Source organism: Homo sapiens, chromosome 2 (assembly GCF_000001405.40).
Source record: "Homo sapiens chromosome 2, GRCh38.p14 Primary Assembly".
Taxonomy (NCBI): domain Eukaryota; kingdom Metazoa; phylum Chordata; class Mammalia; order Primates; family Hominidae; genus Homo; species Homo sapiens.
In genome coordinates, this window is record NC_000002.12 from 162,476,563 (window position 1) to 162,499,613 (window position 23,051).

A 23,051-nucleotide genomic window follows, 5' to 3' on the forward strand; every position below is an offset into this window, starting at 1 on the left:
CTTCCATTTTACTAAGCTATATGTCATTTGCTCTGTATCCTTAATATTATAGGTTCATTAGTATACTTTACTAAATATATTTTAAAACATCTTTCAATACAACTAATCTTGAGATAATTGATAAAACAGAGGTCAATCCTATACTATCTTTAGTAAATAATAATGGCAGAAAACATCATGTGTCATTCCCTAATGAACTGAAGAATGAAGGCCTTTCCAGAGAATAATTGCAAATTTGAAGCTTCAAAAACTAAGATTCTATTGTTACCTCCAGTGGAAACACAGCTTCTCAGATGTTAAAAAGTGGTTATGCACATTATTAAGTCTCATATTTGCAATACAAGCTTTTATATAATAACAATTAAAAATGCATTAGTCAGGAGCAGAAGTTGTAGCCTTGGGCATCAGATTTATTTATGTCTTAGTTACCTCAGGAATTAGGAACTAGGGCATCTAAGGGCTTAGGCTAGGCATATAAATGTTGTCATTCAGGCCACCTATTTAAACTGATTTTTAAAGATAAATTTCCTAACCGCAGTAAGAAAAACAAGAGTGAAAGAGAAGTATAAAATTCTTGCCTAGCAGTAAGTAACGATTAAAGGCAGTATCTTGAAAGCTTAGAGCCTTATGATCATTCCTGACATTCTGCAGATTTTCCTGCCATGGTATCTTTTCACTTACTAACATGGACTCACCCCAGAGGAGACTAAGGCCCTGAATGAATGCATCACCAGTGCTCAGAGCTCAACTGCCAAGGGGCAGGGAGCACAAGAGTCAAAGCCAAGACCCAGGGCTTCTGGAGCACAAAGCTGCCTGGCAGCTTCATCAGCTGCCTTCTTCCTTTGGGCTCTCTTTCCAGTTCTTAGGCAAGCCTGCTTGAGAAAAAAAGTCAACAGGGTCTTTCCTGCAGGCTTCAGAGATAGAATAGAGAAGGAGGGACTTTATATGAGGGAAGTTTTATTTATTTATTTTCCAGCAGTCAGGCCCTAAAAAAAAGCAGGTTGTCATTTCTGTCTTCACAGGGAATAACACTGATACACACAAGAAGCAAACATATTATAAATTCTACAAAAATATTTTGTTCTAATACTTATTTATTTTCAGTAATTTCATATTACTGGATGAAATACTATTCCCCTCTTAAAAGCCAAATGCCATAATTGATTTAGGAGGGGATGTGGTAGAATTCTGACTCTACCTTACCTCTTCAAATGCGTGCCTACATTTTTCTATATAGCCTTCTGCCCAAACATCTATCCATCCATCCATCCATCCATCCATCCATCCATCCATCCATTTGCCCACCCACCCAACTTTTATTGAGCAGACACTGGGAAAACTATGAGAAACAAAAAAGACACAGCCCCTGTCCTCATGGAACTTAGTCACTAGTGGGGCAAAATGGGTATGACACAAATAAGTACACAAATAAAGATTTCATCTCAATTGTGATATGTGTGATAGAAGATAAAAGGAAGGCACTGTGAAAGTGTGTGACTGGATGAATTTAACTCAGGTTAAGGAAGGCATCCTTGAGGAAATGGGCTAGGTACAGTGGTAGAAGATAGAGGTCAGACTAGACACAAGTAGAGCCCATTAGACCGGGCCTTGGAAAGGTCTTCACACACCTGGATTAACTGCTCAAGGCTCCCAATGATCTGGGTATCTCCTGCAAGAAGCTATGTCCATTTTCCATTGCCAATTGCAAGTACTCCACCTCTCCCCAGTTAATTGTTCATTATAGTACCATAGACTGTTACAGGTGGAAGTGGGCGAGCAGATTTTCCAGCAAGTATTTGTGATCTGCTTGAGGTCAGGGGGCACCATGTATTACCTCAGTGATGAGCATCTCATAGATTTAATCTACTTGTTTGGAATAAAATGTTGTAAGTGTAATAAGAACAATTTTAATTACAATATTTACTCTGTGATTCTTCTAATGTTATTCTGGAAAGTATTTTGTTTGTCTATAATCTTATAGGCTAGATATTTCCCTCATTCATTTTGCAAATTCTCTCCTTCACATCACCTCAACCCACTTCAGGGACCGCACAAAATGATTTCAAACCAAGTCCTCATCTGAATTAATGCAAATTCAAAGTTAGGAAGTCCAAATCAATGAGGTTTTGAAGGCCTTATGACACACTGTATTTCCTCACCTTTCAGTCTAATATAAAGCCATAGAATCATGATTCATTGATGTTTCTGGCACTAATTTAATTTCAAACCACCTGCTTGCCTCCCGTGTAAGGTAGGCCCTCGGGCAGTTAAAGCTTCTGACCTACTTCAGAGTTTCTTTTATGCCCTGGAATGCATCCCGTTTTAGAGAGCAGGTTAAACTCCAGAACATGTCCTTAATCATTGTGACTCCCTGGGCTTTCCTGGTGCTTTTTAGAAGGAAGCAGAACGGATCCAAATAAAACATACGGGCAATTTTTATTTTAAAGCTTCAGATCTGTTCACAGAAATCACGAGGGAGGGGAGAGAGGTACAGTACTGCACTCTAAATTTAGGTCAGTGGGAATGACTCAATTATTGAAAAATTCTACCTCTGACTGATAGAATGAGGCCCTGTAATGAGAATGGAAAAAAAAAAAGAATGTGAAAGTCTTTTTTTTTTTTCAAAAAAAGTCATTCAATAGCTTGAATATATCTTATATTCATTGATAAGTTGAATACAAATTATTTATCTTAAAAAATAATGCTAATTATTTATTTGCTAAAGGATACCCTTGTGTATTGATGAAAGGTTTTATTTTTGTTATAGAAATATCAGAGTTTAGATTTTTGGCAAAATGAAAGGCTTGTGAACTTTATATATTCTTATAGATTTCAAGCAAGCATGTTTATTTGTTTATGAGAACAAATGATCAGTACCCAAAGTACAATTCAAAACTTAACTGAATGAGCAATTGGCTTTGACAATTTAAGCATAAATCACATTTGTCCTAAATATATATTTTGGTTCTTGTTTATTTCATTTTTATAGATTAGAAATGAAATTTATATGCATACTCATAAGATGAAAAGGAAACAATAAATGATGTCTCCTAAGATAGAGGCAGATAAATTCAACTTGAGATACATTAGGAAATTGTGTGTGTGTGTGCATGTGTGTGTGTGTGTGTGTGTGTGTGTGTGTTGAGATGGCTGTATGACTGAAGTATAGAGTGAAATCAGATATCAAAAGCTGAAGAGAAATAATATTTTTACCTACCCGAGGATGCCTTTGGAGAAGCATTGTGGAGAATCCCTCCTAATGCCTTTTTTTAGTTCATTAATCCCTGCCTTTTAGTCTTTCTTAGAATGGAAAATAAATGCAGGCTGAACCTCAAAATAAGAGATGGAATTTATTTTAATTTCTACTTCATGACAATGTCATCTTAGATTTCATTTGAAGGTATTGCAAATGTAACTTGATATTCCATGAAGCATGATTTTGTCAAGAAGAACATCATTTCTTAAGAGTTTAATGAAGCTATTTTAAGACATTAGGAGAGGAAAGAAAATCTCTAGTTGAAGGCAAGCATTAGATTATGCTATAAAAAATGGAGTTCAGGTTACTTACTTTAAGAATTCTGTTTTTTTTTTAAATTTAAGCCTTATTGAAATACTGCAATTTTAAATAGACACTTGCGGTGTATGCATTTTTTTGTGGTTTTCCTGACTGATTACTACATTGTAAATGATTCAGTCTTCAGTAAACACAGGAAGCTCCTCACAATTGTACATTCATTCTCCTCCTTCAGCAGAAGGCTGTTTGACTGAACCCCTAACTCCTTCTGAAGGTGAAAAAAGAGAAATGACTATAGCAATGGGATTGGGAGGGTACCTAAGGAAGGTGAACTTGTGGGAAATTTGGGAGGGTGTAAACCAGAGAGCCTGAATCTAAAGCATATCTTTCCTTTCTCCTGCCATCCCTCACCTTCCTCCTGCATGTTTCCATCAATAAAATTCATTTGAGTTAATTAATTTCTCATTCAAGATGCAAATATATCCCAGTGAGAACAAAACTCTCAGTTTTTCATGCAGCTTTTTACATGAGATACTCTCATCAAATTGGTGGCATTCAGAAAACATGGCTTTTTATTATGATGGGAACTGAGGGGATTTATTTTTAAACAAACTCTATTTATAATTTTGTATACTACCTGAGAACATTGGGCCAGTTTATCAGATAGTCATCCATGATATGAAGGGAACATTTTGGAATGGAAAACTGGCCTGGGAGAATGGTCTAGCTTATATAGGGCAAGAAGTTACGAAGTGAGGGGGTTAAGGAAAAAGAGGTGGAAAAAGGAGGATGGTTAAGAGATCGGAGCTGTCTCATGCTACTCTTCCCACAGTTGCCTCTGGGACTTTGCCTCCCCTATTCACTGGGCTTGAAAATCACTGTGCTGCTTTTGGTGACTGCCTTGCACCTGCTACCTGAGTCTCCACCCAGCTGACATCCTTCTGGCTTCCTTCGTGTTTTAATGTCGACAATGATTCTTCTGGCTCCTCCAGACTGGGTTACGTGCCCCCTTTCTGCTCACAGATTGCCCCATTTATTACCAGTATAAATTTTGTCACACTTCGATTTTCTCTTATTCTTTCTATCTTTTCCCACTCAACTAGATGGCAGGGATGTGTCACCACTGTAACCAGAGTTTGTGAAACAGCATCCTTTTCAGATTAGGCATTCCATATACATCTGGAGAACAAAAAAAATTATTTGCAGTTTTGCCTTGGAAATGACACTAAACTTTTACTGAATGTCTACAATGAAGAAGATATTATGCCTACTTTACAAATTAGGAATCCAAGACAAGGAAGAATCAAACAATACAGTCAAGAACATTGTCAGTATTAAATGATAGGGGTGGAAATTTGAATACAAATGATATTTTCTTATCTTCCCACTTGGAAGCTAATGGAATAAGAGAGTCTCAACCTTTTACAATTCAGTTCAGGATGGTCTTATCTAAGATGTTCTATCCAGCACAGTGTCTCCCCATCATTTCCAGACTTTCCTCATCAGTAAAAAAACGAGAGAGCAAGTGCAGAGTATATAAAAGGAGGAGAAGAATTAACTTTTATGTATCTTATTTGGCTTGCCTGGAACTTAGTATAAACTCAATAAATGTCACATGAATGAATACATGAGGTTGTTACTCCCTCTCATCAAGGAAGTATTATCAGACATCATAACCTTCTCTTATGAATGCTGAGAATGTACTGCATGCATTAAATAAAATGTGCAGTTTATTTAGCCCAATTACCAATTGATGAGTTAGCAGTGTTAGGTATTTTGAGAGATATTTTAAAAAGATGTTATGATCCTACCTCTGAAGGCATAGTTAAGAAAATGAAATAAACTCATTATACAGACACATATATACACAGGTTATCTATCTATCTATCATCTATCTATCTATCTATCTATCTATCATCAATCTATCTATTATCATCTTCTCTTTCTTCTTTTTCATCATCATCATTATCATCATCTAGCTATCTAGCAAGAAACACAAAGCAGTATGGAAATAAATTGTTTAGTTGTGTAAAAATAGACTAAGTGCTCTTTGAGTTTAAGGATGGGATAGATCAGTGCAAGCTGGGGAGCCTATTAAACTTACCTGGAGATGATTTGGATCTCAGAAATGAGAAGGCTTTGATATATAGAGAAGAGGATGGCAATAGGTCTAGTCTAGGAATTGCTGCAAGCAAATTTCCAAGGCTTGTTATGAGTAGGACAAGGGGAGTTTAAAGAAGACTGACCAGAGCAGATGTGATGTGCTGATGAGGAGTAAGAATACAGTGATAGGGAAGAGGGAAAGTAGTGAAAGAGCACTTTGGGGTGAGGAGCAAATGCCAAAATGTCTTCTGTGGTGTGTGTGTGTGTATGCTTGTTTTCCAGGAAGATAAACAGCTGATTCCAAAGGATATATTAAAGCGAGTTCATGTGGGTGATAGTGCAATAAAAGAATTAACCTGTTACAATATAAAAGTTTTCTCTCTAAGACTTGGGAATAGCTGTTGCAAACAATGCTAGCACTTTAAAAAAGTTATATTAAGTTTACTGGTTGAACCAGAATCAAGGTATGTGTCAGGTCACTCAGGTTAAGCATTAAGCCAAAGCAAGAGAAGAGAATGATATTATTCATGTCTGCTGCTTCCTACAGCAATAGAACCTTGGGAAATTGAAAATGTTGCAGAAGTAGGTTCTTCAAATCTTCATAGATTAATCAAAATCTTTCCATATTTTTCTGGATAGCTATACCAAAAAAAAGTTTCATATAAAACTGAAAGTGTATACTTAATATTTTCTGGAACATAAACTGAATGTCATCTGTCAACGGAATATAATTATATGGCAGCTATTAGCAACCTACTTTTTACCTGCTGTAACTGAAAATTCTTGGAACTATTATGCACCAGTAATTATATTCTGGATTTATTCTCAAGAAGGAGAATGGGAATGAAGAAGGACCCCTATTAATAAGGAATTAACTCCTCATAAGCTAAAGAAATAAAAGTGGAATGCAGGATAAATTGCAAAGTATATTCCTGATTTTAACGTATCCTAAAACTTCACTTTTGAATTTCATAAATGTCCAAATAGCTAATTTAATATTCCATATGGTTGGGAAACAGAGGTGCATATATTAAAATAATGCATAGAAAATATTTTTAAAATCTTACCTTAGACCAATTATTTCAATATTTGTCATTATAATCCCTTTAGGATCATGTAGAATGAAGTGGGTTAATAATGGGCTATACCAACAAAATCAAGTTTCAGACTATTTCCTCCATCCACGGGACATGTATTTCCATATTTTGCTACATGGTCTTTTGAAACAGATTTCAATTTCACATAGAATGGAAGAGGGATTCTGCAGTGTGGAACTACCATTATTGGCAACATTTAGAAATCCTAATTTTCAGTGATAAAAATAATTTCCTAAGGAATGGGAGTTCACTGTATTCTTTGTTTTTTTTTTTAATATTCTTGAATATTGTGTTTCTTCTTGACAATTAGTATCAATTCTACATTTGAACCTGTTGGCACAAAAGTAGCATCAGATTCTTTTTTGCTGGGTATATTTTCAGAACAAATGAGTAATAACCCTCTAAATTTTCATTACTGTGTTAAAAAATTATTTGCTTTCCTATGGAGTTAATTTTCTTGAGTCAGGTAGTAAAATTTTCATCTTCCCAAAATATCTTGTTCAACTACTTGGTTTTAACTAGTTATGAAAACTCACTTCTGCTAGCAACCCTGTATTTCTTAAAGCATTTATCTTGTAGAGAAGAGGATTGAGACTAGGAGGAGTCAGGCTACAAAGCTGTTGAAATTTTGTCAGTCATCCACCTTAGGTGAAAAACAGAGCATACAGGGATTAAAATGGCCTTGCTTTCAAATGGAAGTGCCAAGTGGAAAGAGCACTGGAGTCAGAGTCCAGAAATTAGGGTTCCAGTCTTGGGTGTGCAGTTTACTATTTGTAGGACTCTGGAAAGTTCCCTTAACTCAAAATCACTATAAAAATAAGAACTTGGATGACTAGAATTAGTGAAAATATCTAAGCAGTTTTGATATTGGGAAGCTCAGAATAAATAGCAGAACTAGACCAAATTTATTGAGGGTGCCTGACCTAAACAAGTTGAGTCTTTCAACACACACACACACACACACACACACACAGAGAGACACACACACACAGTCTTAAGAGAAAGCCAATATATAAAGCCACATAAAATGAAGCGAGTTCGTTGAATCTGGGGAAGTGTACAGGTCTCAATGCTGTGTCTCCTTGGTCCCCATTCTCCTTTTCAGCATCCTGTATGCTAAGGAGCACAAGTTTCAAAACTATTCAAACAATTGCTTTAAGACAGTTTCATATGCTCTTAAGGAAGTTTTCCTCCAAAATTGCTACAATAATAATGTGGTGAAGAAACCAGAGAGACCGCAATAAGTCAGGATGCATCCTAACTTATTCATACAATGTGCAACAATTCATTTTTGGCAGTTAAACATGTACAGAAGATCATTACACTGTACTACAGTTTGGATATTTGTCCCCCTAAAATTCATTTTGAAATTTGATCCCCAGTGTTGAAGGTGGGGCCTAATGGGAGGTGTTTGGGTCATGGGGGCAGATCCCTCATGAATGGCCTGGTGCCAACCTCATGGTAATGAGTGAATTCTTGCTCTATTCATTCCCATGAGAGCTGATTGTTAAAAAGATCCTGGCACCTCCCTTTGTCTCTGTTGCTTCCTCTCTCACCATGTGATCTCTGTGCATGTTGGCTCCTCTTCGCCTTCCATCACGAGTGGAAGCAGCCTGAGGCCCTCACCAGATGCAGATGCCCAATCTTGAACTTTCCAGCCATCCAGAATCATGAGCGAATAAATTTTTTTAAAATAATTTACCCAGCCTCAGGTATTCCTTTAGAGCCACACGAAACAGATTAAGACACATGAAAAGAAAACAGGAACTAAGGAATCTGTGTCTCTGTTGTTTTCTCTGATTTTAAGCAAACACACAAATAAGCAAACAAAAAAGTTTAAAGATTCAGAATGGAACAAAATTACCTCAAAGGTGAGACCTTCAACTTTTCTTCATGTTAATTTTTTCGCTTCTCTACCTTAGTGATCTATAACAGTTTGCTTTCAAAATGCAAACAAATTTGGGGGAATCTACATGAGAAACATATTCAAAATCTTAAAATTACTAATCAGAAGTCCAAGCTGAGGGGTTATTTTAATTCATTATTGATATCTAAATATAAAAATGTGATAATAATCTTTCTCTTTTTAATACTCATTAGGTTTATGCCTTAGTTTTTAATTGCTTTCAAGTAATAAGTTATGTAAAGTGGAAAGAAGTAATACTTGTTATTTAGAAAATACTTTTGCTTCAGGTAACTTTATACTGAACTCTCATACTTGCAGTGTCCAGTTGCTAAAATTAAAGGAAACTCTACACGTCAGAAACTCTTCATTCATTTCTATAGAAGGAAATATAGGAAGGGAAGAGAAGTCTTTCTTTATTGAAAACACAAAGTGAGTTGGTAGATTCTGAACGTAGTAAGAAAAAGAGAGGGAGAGAGAATGTATGAGAACTAATACAGCAATCAATTTTAGCAGTAATTCAGGTGCCTGCAGGTAGGAAAATTTAAGGGCCTGAAATCATTATTTTCCAATAAAAACCCATGAATAATGGATATACCTGTGGGCATAATTTACAAATGACAGCTTATCACCCCGAAACAGGATGGTACAGCTCAACTGACAGCTGCCAGTCAACCAGGAAAGAGCAGTATAGAGCAATATTTTTCTCTATTACATCCTTTTTTTCCCTTTTGACTCAACTCACTCAATCTCACTGAACTTTATTTCCTTGATCTGAAAATTAAGACTGTGTTGCTGATAATGGCACAGAAATTTGTCAGCTTGACTCTTCAGTTCAAATGTAAAAAGGGTCAATAGGAAGCAGGAAGTAGATCTGGTTGCAGACCATTATGCGATATTTTTCCTGCCACATCAGAAAAGAACTGGATGAGCAAGAGAAAAGAGAGGAGCCAAGAAAGTGTGAAAAAGACCACGGTTATATTCTGGTTCTCCTCACACCATAGGCCACTTCACCTCTACCTGGGCCATTAAAGTGACATCCTTGCTACCAACAACCTCAGCTCATTAGGATGAGGGGGCAGAAAAGGAAGGCTCTCCATTTTCAATTCTTTGGACTATAAATGTGGTAGGGGATCAGCTTTAACTACAGTCCCTCCCAGCAGGGAGATTTGGGTTCTTTAATTCTTTTCTCCATTACTCTGCAGCCCACATTTTTCCCTTTCTAGCTAAATGATTTTTAAAAGATAGGCTTCAAAACACAGGTGGACTTGGAACAGGTATATTTAAAGTAGAAAAAGAAATATATGTGGCATTTCTTTAGTTCCTTTAAGCTAAGTTCTATATTTGGGACATGGTTGAAAAAGAAACCTATGTGAGCTTCATTAAAACAAGGAGAAAAAATAGGAAAAAATATTCCTATTACGCACTTATTCCTAATCCAGTCACTATTACCCCATGTCTATCTCAAGCTTTTCTTTTAAAGAGTTTTAAAATTTCTAACATATTCATGTTTGAGTTGCACATATAGCCCACAGTTATCTATGAAAATGTATATCCTAAAAAATCACCCCCATATTAATTCCTCAGAATATCAATGGATGTCTAGTATCAACAAACAAACATAATTAAAAATGGGTTCTGTCATGAAAAAAGTTTGAGATATATTGGTAAATCAATGTTTTATAGACTTATTTAATTCAGGAATTTTTAGAACCTTAAACATGCTAATTTTTCACATTAATTTCTGGAAGGGTTACTGTTTGAACTAAGAAAATATTTCTTCTGGGACATCCTTGGGAGACAAGTATTCTGCAAGGAAGATAGTTTAGAGGACTCTGGCCTAGGTAAGTTCTCTTAAAGGGAGATTCTTTCTTAGAGAACTTTTACAATCATTCAATATGACAGTAGCTGCCCTCTGGTCTCAGTAGCTACCCAATGAAAGTAAGCTTGTTTCTCCAGTATGATCGTGTTAATACGAATTCATATGCCTTCACTTTTAACATAAATCTTATGATTAAAATATCACAAAAACATACATCTGAACTAGTTAATCATTAAGAAATCTACAGAAAGAGACATAACTTGCAATAGCAATTAAAGAAATATAAAACACAAGTCTTTGCTGGATTATCTTTTGAGCTTCTTCAACTACAGAATGAAAAGGTTGTGCTATATTTATATTTTCCAAGTTTGCCTGATCTTAATAATGTGGCAGAAGAGGTCACAAATGGAATGGAGTTTTTAAAAACTTCAAGATTCTCAGGCTCCACTGATATATTTAATTTTGGTGGGGGGTGAGTGGGGAGGAGGGAGAGGGAGAGTGTGTTCCAGATGATTCCATTGATCAGGAAATTTTGAGAAACCCTGAGGAAGATGATATCTAAGGCTCCTTTGAATTTTAAAATCCTGTGAAGATGAAATGCTTTTTAATGAACTCTTTAGAAACAATTGAGTTCTAGAGGGTTTATTATCTAACTGCATATTTTTCCATTATAAATGAGATCTGCAAAATACAGAGAAATAGAGCTAGAGGGGGAAAATGTATTACCCACAATCTCACACCCAGATAATCAATGAGACCTTTTATGTTATTTTACCTTTCTATATGGGATTTCTTTCTAAATAAGTTCCCAAGTTGGAATTCACTTCCTAACTCAGGGAATAGCTGTAGTCAATGAAGCTTACAAGGCCTTAGGCTGCTTGGATGTGTGAAAATGCCACGTCTGCTACGGAATTTTTCTGTGATAAATGTCCTCTGCCTAATTCTTGCTCTCTGATACATGGAATATGTACTGCTTTAGCTCACTCTCATTAGGCAACCCACCTTGAACTATGTGTTTGTCCCAACCCTCAGGCCAGGAGGGCAAAGGAGCAGAGAAACTCTCTCCCTGTGCTTCTTTTCTGTTCCTGGGTCTGACTTTTATCTCAAGATTGACAACAACTGGTGAAGAAAGACCTGAGCCATCTTGACAACAGATATCAACAATCTTTCCAAGGTCTTAGTTGCCAAAGCAACCAGGCTATTACCAGGTACTCAAGCCAAGTTAAATTTTACCTAATTTTACCTCTTCTGACCATTTGTATTTTACTTCTTTACTTCAAGCAGCTACTTTCAACCTGATTTTTTGTCCAACAGAACTTTTAAAGGATATGATATTTTTTTTCTTCCCTTAGCTTTAAAATGTGTGATGTGAGAAGAGCAAAAATCACTTGGTGATCATTGAACATGCCTCAGATACAAAAACTCCTTATCTGAGGAATTTAGAAGGTAGCAAAGACCACCATCAATCAGGCCATCCAGAGGCAAAACTCCTTATCTGGGGAAAATTAGAAGTAATTAGACTTTCCCATTATCAAAAGCAGGCATCTTGTTCCAGATCTCTTTCCCTCCTAAAAGCTTATAAGTAACAAAACTTTCTATACATCTCTGGAATGCCATGCTGAAACTCATTTTACAATCCTACACTCCCACCATAAGGTCCATAAATATCCCAAAAGAAAAATCTGCGCTCAGTCCTCTCACTGAGGTGCCCCACTGCACTGTTTTGCAGTGTTCTTCCTTTCTAATAAACTTTCCCTTTTCAAACTTATACTGTTGCCAGTAATTCTTTTTACCAACCCATGAGTCGACCACTTCCCAGTGCCAGGGCTCCGACACCTTGCCCGGCATAACGAACATATAAAACCCAACAGGTGCTTTTTAACAGAATTACACATAAATGCTTCCCCTTCAAGCTACGGTGCTTAGTCAGTTGGCTACCAGGATTTCATATAGATATGTTATTCCTTCATCATCTAGAATACACAGAAGTGTGATTTTTCACACTTATTAATTACCTAGCTAATTCGGTATTTTAAACTGAAATAACATTTTAATTTAGAATATATGTCATTATGTGATTGTATTGATATGCATATAGCATTTAGTAAAAATAGAAAACTAATTTGCTGCTTAATTAAAAATTCCACACTTCTCCTTTCAAGAAACACACACTCTTATTTTGTATTTATTATATACGTAGCATACAACATGCTTGAAGTAGTCAATAGCTTGTAAAATGTTTTTATTTTTTCCTCATCATTGACCAGAATCAGGGATGTCCAATATTTTGGCTTCTCTGGGCCACACTGGAAGAAGAATAATTGTTTTGGGCCACACATTAAGTACACTAACACTAATGATAGCCGATGAGCTAAAAAAAAAATGCAAAAAAATCTCATAATGTTCTAAGAAAGTTTACAAATTTGTCTGGGTCACATTCAAAGTCATCCTGACCCACATGCAGCTCACGGGCTGAGGGCTATACAAGCTTGGACTAGATAATAGAATATATTTATTTGACCAGAGACGACTAGAAAACATAATCTAAGATCTCAAAACTCAAAGTCTCTATTTAATCAAAGGCCCTTGAAGACAATGATCTTATTTACATGTTTTTATATCAGCCAGAGTACATAACATTTGACTTATATTTAGCAAACAATGACAAATATTGAATCCATAATTACCCTAATGACAATTCTTATAGCTTCCAGATATATTGTCATTTCAATTTGCGTATTTAAATATTATTTACAGACTAAACTCAGAATATGGGAAAAACATTGGATAGGAATTTCTGTTTTGCTGAACCAAGCTTGCTGGTATTCTATAAATAACAACAAGATAATGGAAGCAAAATTAATGTTCTATTAAATTGGAATTGCTCAGAAGCAATTTTGTACTCCTGCATTACATCCCAAATTTAATCTGGAATTTTGTGATTACCATTATTTGGCAATTCAAGATGAATTCAATATAGTTTTATTGAGGTTTATATGATATATAAGTTGGTTTAGATCCAAAATGAAGTTTAGGAGAACACGTTAATCATACTCTAGAGGTATGGAAAGAAGTTAGCCAGCTTGCTTTAGGCAGACAGTAAGGGGAGGGTCCCTGGAGAACCACCAACCTGCCCCACAAGTTCTTACACCAGATGTTTTGTGCAGACAAGGGAATTTGCACAGGAAGATTGCCCAAACATGCCCGCAGTGGCCTAAGGGGCCACATGTGCACTAGGGGGATTAGGTGGAGCCACCGGGAATTAGTGCCTTATGCAAACAGGGAACCCAGCCCCATCAGCTTAGATATATAGAAGCCCTTGTATTCAACTGAAAAGGAGGGCAACCAGGAACCTACTTTCAGGATTTCTCTTTTTGCTGAGAGCTTTCCTTTCACTTAATAAATTCTACTCCACTCACTCTTCAAGCCTCCGCATGCCTACTTCTTCCTGGTTGTAAGACAAGAAGCCAGACCTAGCTGAGCTAAAGAGCAAGAAATCCTGTGTCATTTTGGGAGCTCGCACAGGATGCCTGGAGGGTGAGTAAATGAGACCCAAAACCTTTCACTTTCACTTCTGAGACTTCTAGTCCTCAGACTTTTTCTGAAGGCTGATGCAGCACCAAACCTCTTGTGAGCCAATTAAGAATAAATGGCGCAGCTACAGAGGACAGGATGCTAGATAGGACCCCAACAACACCCCTGCCCATCACTCTCAGGGCTTGGGAATGTCAGCCTCTTTGCAATCCAGACTTTTCTATGGCATTTTCTTTCTTTTTCAGGGCTGTCATGGCACCTCTTTTTAAATGATGTTAAGGGTGCTGCTGCAAACTGCAGAGATATTACTATGTAGAATGAGCATTTGGCCAAGCCACCAGATATGCAATTCAGGATAATGTGATTTCCATCTGTTCTTAGAGGCATCCCTCAGCTCCACCCAATGGCCACAGGTATGCACTCCCTGCTCCAACCTCCCCTCCCAGCTGGGGTACATGGCTGTGTCTGCCACACACATATGCTGCGTTCAGTGACCACGCAGGACAGGAATAAGCTGTGGCTGCTTCCCGGGTACCAAGGCAATCTCGGGGGCCAAGGCCCTCATGCAGCCTGTTGGCCAGCATTTCCCACTCTCCGACCCATCCTGCCATGAACCTGTGGAGCCTTTCCTCCTCTGGTTGAGCCAAGAGGGTACAAAGATTAAGAGTTTCTCTCCCTGGTGGAGAAACACATTTGCATAGAGCTAGAGGTTTTTCCCCCAGGCATTGTCCCCACCCTGCACTTAAACTGTTTATTTTTCTTTTTCCCACAGTGCCAGGAGTTAACACAGCCCTGCGGATATGGGCAGCTTTTCTATGCAAGAGGTTTTTTTGTTTCCTTTGAGAGGCATTTTACTAGGCCAGGACCCCAATTCACGGGACTCCCTTTCCTCTCCCTTGTTTGAGGGGGACCCAGCTCCACAGCTTTACCTTAGCATGACTGATTCCTGACAATTAGGCCCCCTCCCATTTCATAGATAGAGGTCATGCTAGTATCTATGACACAGACAAGGTATAGGGAACTCAAAAGTTACCAACAGCAGGAAGGAGTCTGCGTGTAGGTAAATGTGGATAATTCCCACCCATTAGGCCTCCCTGTTAACATGGGTGAAAAGTTGCATTGGCATTCATGGGTGGCACCCTGCCGAGGTTGCCAGGACTCGGGGATATAAGGACAGAAGAAAGAATGGGACACCATTATTTCTCTCCCTCACGTACCCCAGGTATTTGCTAGGAAGAGAAAGGACCTAGGGATGCCTTTTTCCCCTCTTTCTAGATGGGTAGCCATTCATCTTCAGTCTGTACTTCTCTCAAATGCCTCCTGAATCACTGGGATTCCTTTGGGGAAAAAAAGCCTTCTTTTTCCTCGAACTCTGTCTTCTCTTCGTGGATGGGTAATTGTGTCCTGTACTACAGGACACTTCCCTTAGATGCATCCTCAAATGGGGAAAAGTTAAGATCCCCAAACTTTAAACTGCTTAGCTTAAATGAGCTCAGGGGAAGGGAACCCAGAAGCCTGACATGCCCCGAAAAGGGCAAAAGTTCTTACCAGTCAGACTTCTGGCCTCCCTCTCCCTGTGCAAACCAGTTGAATGAATGATAAAATTACTGCTTATATCCTCTGTAAAGTTTTGATTAATGGAAAAAAGGATTTGTGCCTTGTCTTAAGCTGTAGCCAATCTGGTGCACTTTGTGTGTCTTTCTGTATGGTTCTGTCATAAAGAGGGGTACTTCAGGCTAGAACGTGGGCCTAGTCTCCCATAAGCCTGCTGTTTAAGCCAGCCTAGCAAATTGGTCAGTAACAAACTTTGCTGCAAGTCTCCATCTTGTTTTATGTCTTTGGGGGCTTGACCTTGTAACCACGTGGCAGTACTCTCTTTTGGTCTTTGCCATTTTAATGGCCACATGGTATCAATCCTGGCTTAGGGAATGAGTACTTTCTGGTTAATACCTTTGTGACTTTTTACCATTTGGTGATTATCTTCCCCTCCATGAACAACTTCTAGCTTCCTTTCTTAAATCTTCCCTTCCCTGAGCTACCTATAAAGATTCCAGATTTTGTAAAAACTGTTTTCCACCTCTGAAAATACATTGAACACCTTGAACACTAAGGTTAAGTCATAACCTTAGTTGAGGCTTATTGGCTTCACCTGTGAGATTAATTTTGGTAAAGCTCAAAAGCCAGAAATATTGGCCGCTTTGCATGGCTAAAATCAGGTAATAAGGAATTTAAAAGGATTTCCTTAAAGTGTACTCAATTTAATTAAAAATGGATCTCCAAGCTATAGATATATCTAAAAGGACTCTATGTTTTTCTCTTCTTGGATCTTGTTTTTTTTTTTTTTTTTTTTTTTTTTTGGAAAAGGTTTTTTTCTCAGTCAACTGTATTACTTTTCTCCATTTTGTCTTGCCACTCTTAATGCACAAGTCAGAGGCCCTAAGATAACTTCTGATGGCCTGGGATGCCTGGGGAAAAACAGAGAAGGTGCCACAGACTCCATTTTGGGAAAAAAATATTTGTTTTCCTCATGGAACCCCAGGAATTAAAAGCAAATAGGTCCCTCTCAAAATTTGTTTTTGTCTTCCAGGTATGCCTGCTTTTTGGCCTGGGAAACTACATGTTTCCCTAGCCCTGCTTCTTGGAGAGCTATACCCTGAGTCCAGTAATTTCAATTAGGAGATAGGCAAATGAAAATTCTTACAACTATTGGATCTTCTTCTGTCTGTGTAATCATATATGTGTTAGATGTGTGATGGTTATATAGAAATAGAGCTCTAATTAATTGGCTTAAAGAAAAATAAGCACTTAGATCAAATATTTTTTGAAGGAAAAATAAAAGCTATAATGCCTTTTAGTTCATGTGACTTTAATCTTTGAGAAATAAAAGTCTTAAAGATTATTGGTAAAATACAAATGTCTTCAAAATGTAAATATGTGGTCTAAAGTATGCAGGTCAGATACTAGGTTTGCTAAATGTTTTAAGGTTATAAGCTGCTTCTTTAGCCTTTGAGAACTGCTCAACTTGCCTGCTTTACAATTTGGTAAGGCCTAGGGACATATGGAATTAACCACGTCACTAACTATGCTGGAGTCAGATCTTATCTGTGCCTAGTACATAATTAAAATAACTTACCAGGTTTTACACTAAAATTAAAAATTGCTAAGAGTTGCCATCATAACATGTAATTGAGACTACTGAAAATAGATTTATATACAAGCTGTGTAAGGAAAGTAAAATGCGTTTTTAGTAAAAGGTTATAAGAAGGCATGAGAATGTAAATTTTTGCTTAGGGTTAGAGAATAGTTTTGAAATAGAAAAGATAAAGCTGAAGGTTTAAACAAATGGTGGAAGATTTGTAAAAAAGAATCTTGCAAAAGAAATTCTGTGTGTGAACATATTGACCAACTTCAAAAAGGTACTATATAGTTTTTCCATAAACTGAGTATTGAAATAAAAGCACGACAAGGTTTTCTTAAGGTATTGATCTGTTATTTAACAAAGATTTGTAAAGGGTTATAAAAGGTTTACAAGAATCTCACTGCAAGGTCAAACTGGTTAAGATGAGATAGAATTATGTTTAAGGTTTCATTTAAAAATTGGGGTTGATATTAATAGTAGACTAATGCAAGGGTAAAATTTGGCTTTCTGTCTCTTGAACAAGATTTTCATGTAATAGTAAAGGATAATAAGAGGTTTTTGGTCTTTCTTAAAATTTTTGAGTCATGATTTTGGCTAAATAACTTAGGGTAATCTGGAATTCTATTTCATAATATCAAGTGTTGTGAACCTTTACTCTTTTGGTAGGCTTCACAAAATCAAACTTCAGTTTCAATGTTGTCTTTCCTGACCCCTAACTTTTAGATGCTAGAGAGGGCCCCTGGAGCATCCAAAAGATAGGTAAACAGGATTATTTGACATTTTTAGTTATTTCCAAAGTGATGTTTTATCTTCTTTAGGTTATATTTTAGTGAACAATAAGTGTATATGTTCCAAAATTGTATGGGATGTCTAAAATTCTAATGTCTGAGTACATGCTATCAATCATAATAAAGGTTATTATGTTAACCTATTGTAAACTACAGAAATAACCAAATTTCTTTGTCAATCATGTTTTTGACTGTAACTATCCTGGGTATTTTGTCATTCACAGACAATTGTTGTCTTGCTTTGATCCTTTCCAAAAAATGGTTTATAATCAGATATAGGACTTGGACAGGAGCTCTGAAACACAAGTTTCTGATATCTTTGGAGATTGTGGCATTGGAATAGAGGGAAGCATATGGGACTCATAAAGAGCTGAAATGCTCATGAATATCAAGCAGAACAAGAGTTAACTGAATGGACTGAACTAATAGAAAACTGAATTAATCATTTAACTTTTTACTTAAAATGTTGTTGATCCTTGTTTTGTTTTTCAGAGTCAAGGAAATTTATTTTGAACTATTTAGAGCCTTTAATAATTGAGTAAGCTATACTCCTGTGAACAAAATTTTGAGCATATTTGTTTCTTTCTGCCTGGCTTCTCCAGAATTTGTAAACTATTTGTGAGTATTCTTAACTTACGGCAATATATTTATTTGCATCAGTGCAGTAAGAATCCATTATCTTTTTATAACAGGTCACAATTGGAGAAACTGGTTGTTTTACCAAGGCTTTGACTGGAAGGATGTGCTTCCCTTTAAGGAATCAAGCATGACCTGCAGAACCAATTAAAGCTCCTTAGGAACTTTGGCCTCATACCTTGTCTAAAGAGTCCCTGTACAGGGTTCCTAACCTGTGGTGAGTAAAGAATGTCACTTTCTAACAGGCCCAGGAGCCCTATGTTCTGGGGACCTCAAGAAGAGAGGAATTTGCCCAAATCATAGGTATTTCAGAGTACAAATCCATGGCTGGGCTAGGCTTTAAAAGGTCTTATCTGAGATTCCTTGTAGAACAGAGTTCTATTAAAGCCAATTTAAAAGCCTATGTTAAATATAACTATTCTTGCTGTACTTTATGCAGATAATCAAGCCAAGTATAAGACTTAAGTTTATTTTACAAAGAACTCAGTCCTATCATGATTTGTTTTTGACAAAAATGAGGACTGGAGAGAGAAAAATTGTTTCAAAACTTAACATACACTTGTGATTCCATTCTAATCTCATCAGTTGTTTTCAAGCTTTTGCCAACATTTTAGACTAATCCTGCTTATTCCTGTGAACAAACCAGTGATACCCAGCTGCAGCTCAGAAGAAACAAAAGGGATGGATAATGTAAAAATCTGGATCAATATTTTAATTCTGGGCAATTATCCTGCAAATCCTGGAGGTTTTTTTGTTTGGGAAAATAAGACCAAGGGAGTCAACCAAAGCTAAGCCCCATGCATCCAAATCTTAGCAGGGATAACTATAGCCACCAGTTATCTGGGCATGTCAGCAATCTTGGGATTGTGGAGCTGTCCTTACTCCCTTGATTCATTTTGATTTACAGCTTCTGATAACCCAAATTGCTTCTTCTTGCTAAAAGGCCATTAAACTTCAAATGGCGATGCAAATGAAACCATGCATGGATGTGCCATTCTTCCATGGACCCTTAAACAGACCTCAGGAGGAGCCCTAACTGCCACTTTCCCAAAACAGAACTCCCTGTCAGCAGGAAGCAGTTTAGAATGGTGATTGTCTACTTTCCCCAACAGCCGTTGGGGGTCTCCACTCCTGAAGAAGGGAATGAAAGGAGTTAGCTTTCTTTAGGCAGACAGTAAGGAAAGGTCCCCAGAGAACCTGTGACCAGCCCCACAAGTGCTGACACCAGATGTTTTGTGCAGATAAGAGAACTTACACAGTTCTCTTAAGCATGCCTGCAGTGGACTAAGGGCCCGCATGCGCACTGGGGGGATGGAGGGGAGCCACCTGGAATTCATGCCTTATACAAATATGGAACCCAGCCCCATCAGCTTAGATATATAGAAGCCTTTGTATTCAACTGAGAAGGGGGGAAACTGGGAACCCGCTTTCAGAGCCCCTCTCTCTTTGCTGAGAGCTTTCCTTTCACTTAAAAAATTCTACTCCACTCATTCTTTGAGTATCCATGTGCCTACTTTTTCCTGGTCATGAGACAAGAACCCAGACCTAGCTGAGCTAAGGAGCAAAAAATCCTGCATCAGTATTGTGAATTTTGTTTTTAGTAATTTCAAGAGTGAAGAATCAATGAGTCTTTATACAAATAATTGTTGAAAATTTGCCTTAAGTATAATTTTAAAACCATGAAATTATTATTGAAAAGTACTGCTATATATAAAACCACTTTTTGTTTGTTGTTGTATCTGAAAGACTTTTCAAATCATGTCATTGAAGAAATTCAGGACTAAATTTATCCAATTTGAAGGAAACTACAGAACATGTTAAGATATTTTGTACTAATATCTACGGCCATACCACCCTGAGTACATGTGATCTCATCTGATCTCAGAAATGCAACAGAGTTGGTCCTGGTTAGTACTTGGATGGGAGAAACTTTGTACTCTTAAGCCTGAGATGACAAATAATTTTAAACATTAGCTAAGAAGAAAAAGTCAATGTTATTTCCTCATTAAAATTTCTTCATTACAAATCAGCCTGCATTCCTAAAGAAGTACTAAATCATAAATACTTGTTTTGGATTTATGTCAAAAATAAGCATAAATTGAGAAACACTGAGTCACAATGAAGAGATAATGAACCTGTTCATAATGAACAAAGTTCAATATAAGTAAAAGGCCATAATCTTTCAGTTCTTCTTTAAGTCAGTAATATCAGGGTGGTTTTGCTTTTTCTGTAACTGTGCAGCATACGACCAACAAAAACCCCCATCCCACTATTCTAATCTGAAATCAGCATAAAGTAGATGGTATATAAATTTAAACAAGAGACCGTGCTGGAAATGAACCTCCATGGCAATGATAGCTTTGTAGGCTTTTTGAAGAGTTAACTAACCACTCAGATTAGGACATTTGGTGTCACAGTCAAATGTTACAAGTATGTCCAACTGCCACAGTAACTCCTGAGGAGATTTAGGGGACAAATGGGGAAACAGAACAGAATCATAAAGAGGATATATTTTAGAGAATGAGAACTTCACTTTTGGAATCAAATTACCTCAGTTTGAAGGCTACGTCCATCATTTACTATAAGACCTAAGCAAGTTGCCTCCACTCTCTAAGCTTAATTTCTTCTCTATGAAATGCATATGGATAATAACGGCACAATCTCACAGTGCTGTCATACAGATTAAAATTGAGAATCCACTAAACCATTTACCACTGAGCCTGGCACATATTAAATGCTCAATCAATGTCAGAAATCATGAAAGTTACCATAATTCTATTTTCATGCCAATAATATACTTACATGAATCCTAAATGTTGGGAATCTATTATGGCTCTAAAGTCTACATAGACTTAAAGATTATATGGCTTTTTTAATATTCAGAAATTTCTTTCTTGTGACCTAAGTTATTTTGTGATTAAATCTGAACTAATTTTCTTGAGTACTTTCCTTAGTAAAGCTACAGGAAAATTATACTTGTGGACTAGTAGTAAATTTTTTCTCATCTTCTGTTCCACAGATTAATACCTTCTGGCTCATTAAGGTCCCTTCACACATCTTATTTCCTGATTATCTCAAAATGGGTTTCCACTGAATTCACCAGACATTCCTCTTATGTAATAAAGGCCAACTTATAGAACTATTTGGTCATAGTACGACAAATACTAAGTTTAAAGGAAATGTAAACTATTGTTACTTTCATAATATGGCCTTGTAGCATTTAATTTAATTTAATTTAATTTAATTTAATTTAATAATTAGCATGTGTAAATGCTATATACTGTTATGTAGTGTTTCTCCAAGTAATTTATAATGTCTTGAGTATCTATACTAGGTTTTATATTTCTGTGTTTCTAGAATCTACCCACTGCCCAATGTGGACTCTGTGTGTGTGGGGGGGAGGGTGGGGGTGTGCACGTGTGTGTGGTTAATGCTGTTAATTTGAATTCCTATCTTCATCTCTGCAATGGGCCACTGCTGTTTGATTCTCCTGCTTTACAGGCTTGCTTCTCCCTCTGCATTTTTCTGGTGTGACTGTCAGTCAAGGGACTATACTTTTTCCTCCACAAGATGATCACATGGCCCAAGATGGTCAATAAGAGTCTTCTTTTTCTGGGAATAATATGGACACTGGAAGAAAGAAGGTCCTTCTCCCCAAATTACTAACTGTGAGCATTAGGTGAGACAGGAGAGTCTGAGGAACTTGCTGCTATTAGGTGGGGAGTGCAGTCAACACAGAAGCAAGGGAGAGAATGTCACTAGTTACACAAAAATGTATATAGCTCACCCCAAAGCAGATCTTTCTCTGTACCTTTCAGTAATATGGCCCAATAAACTTCCCCTCTTCCTTTCATTTTTTTGCTTAAAGTGGTTTGAGTTGGATTTCTGTTACTTGCATTCTGTTACAGTATTGACTGATACAATGGCCAATAAAGATTTGAAATCCACGGCACCATCTTCTTTAACTATTCGGATACTCATACTTATCCAGGGAGAGTGGTCTAATACAAAACTTGTCAAAGCTGAATATGGCAACAAAATAATATGTTTCATCCTAAAAATTGGCACAATATTTGAACTAAACTAGCCTCAGGAATAACAAAATCTTAGAATAGTGCAAAAGTGTGGTTCACTTTTATTTAAAAGGGGGCAAATATAGCCAATAATTTGATCTTCAATTGAGAAGTGCAACTGCTTGGTAAAAGGAGACCTTACCTTTGTTCTCCGCCCAAATTTTCTTACAATTCATTGTTTACTCTCCACCACTCCATTGGAATTTGGTAGAAATGGCCAGCCAAGGGCTTGCCTCCCTGAGATGTACACTACTGCACATCAGCCTTTACTGGCTGGACTGTAGTGCAGGAAAAAAAACACACACATCTTCTGAGAATTATTTTCTCTTTTCTCCAAATAAATAAAGAAGGTGAGATGAAATATGGCAAAATGAAATATGACATGATGCATTCCAGAAGACCAATAAGGCCAAAAGAGGACTATGGATCCAAAATAACAGCA

At 37.0% G+C, this 23,051-nt stretch overlaps 1 protein-coding gene, 1 long non-coding RNA gene and 1 pseudogene across 9 annotated transcripts in view, besides 1 other annotated feature; 2 read left to right on the forward strand and 1 right to left on the reverse strand.

Moving 5' to 3' along the window:
• The window catches only part of KCNH7 (potassium voltage-gated channel subfamily H member 7), a 467,361-nt gene that overhangs the window by 105,156 nt on the left and 339,154 nt on the right, over nt 1–23,051 (reverse strand). The gene's annotated exons all lie outside the window — the stretch shown is intronic.
• Nucleotides 13,754–13,813: an enhancer, noted in NCBI's record as "active region_16719". NCBI's record gives its function as "activates an Ori minimal core promoter by ATAC-STARR-seq in GM12878 lymphoblastoid cells {active_cell/tissue: GM12878}" and the evidence as "EXISTENCE:reporter gene assay evidence [ECO:0000049][PMID:35858748]".
• Nucleotides 13,772–22,483, forward strand: LOC124906084 (uncharacterized). Of its 2 annotated transcripts, XR_007087278.1 has the most exons (3): nt 13,772–13,976; nt 14,219–14,386; nt 18,593–22,483. It is a non-coding gene; the product is annotated as an uncharacterized LOC124906084 (long non-coding RNA). The 2 variants fall into 2 exon arrangements; XR_007087277.1 differs by having other exon boundaries at nt 13,772–14,386.
• Nucleotides 20,374–20,489, forward strand: RNA5SP109 (RNA, 5S ribosomal pseudogene 109; annotated as a pseudogene).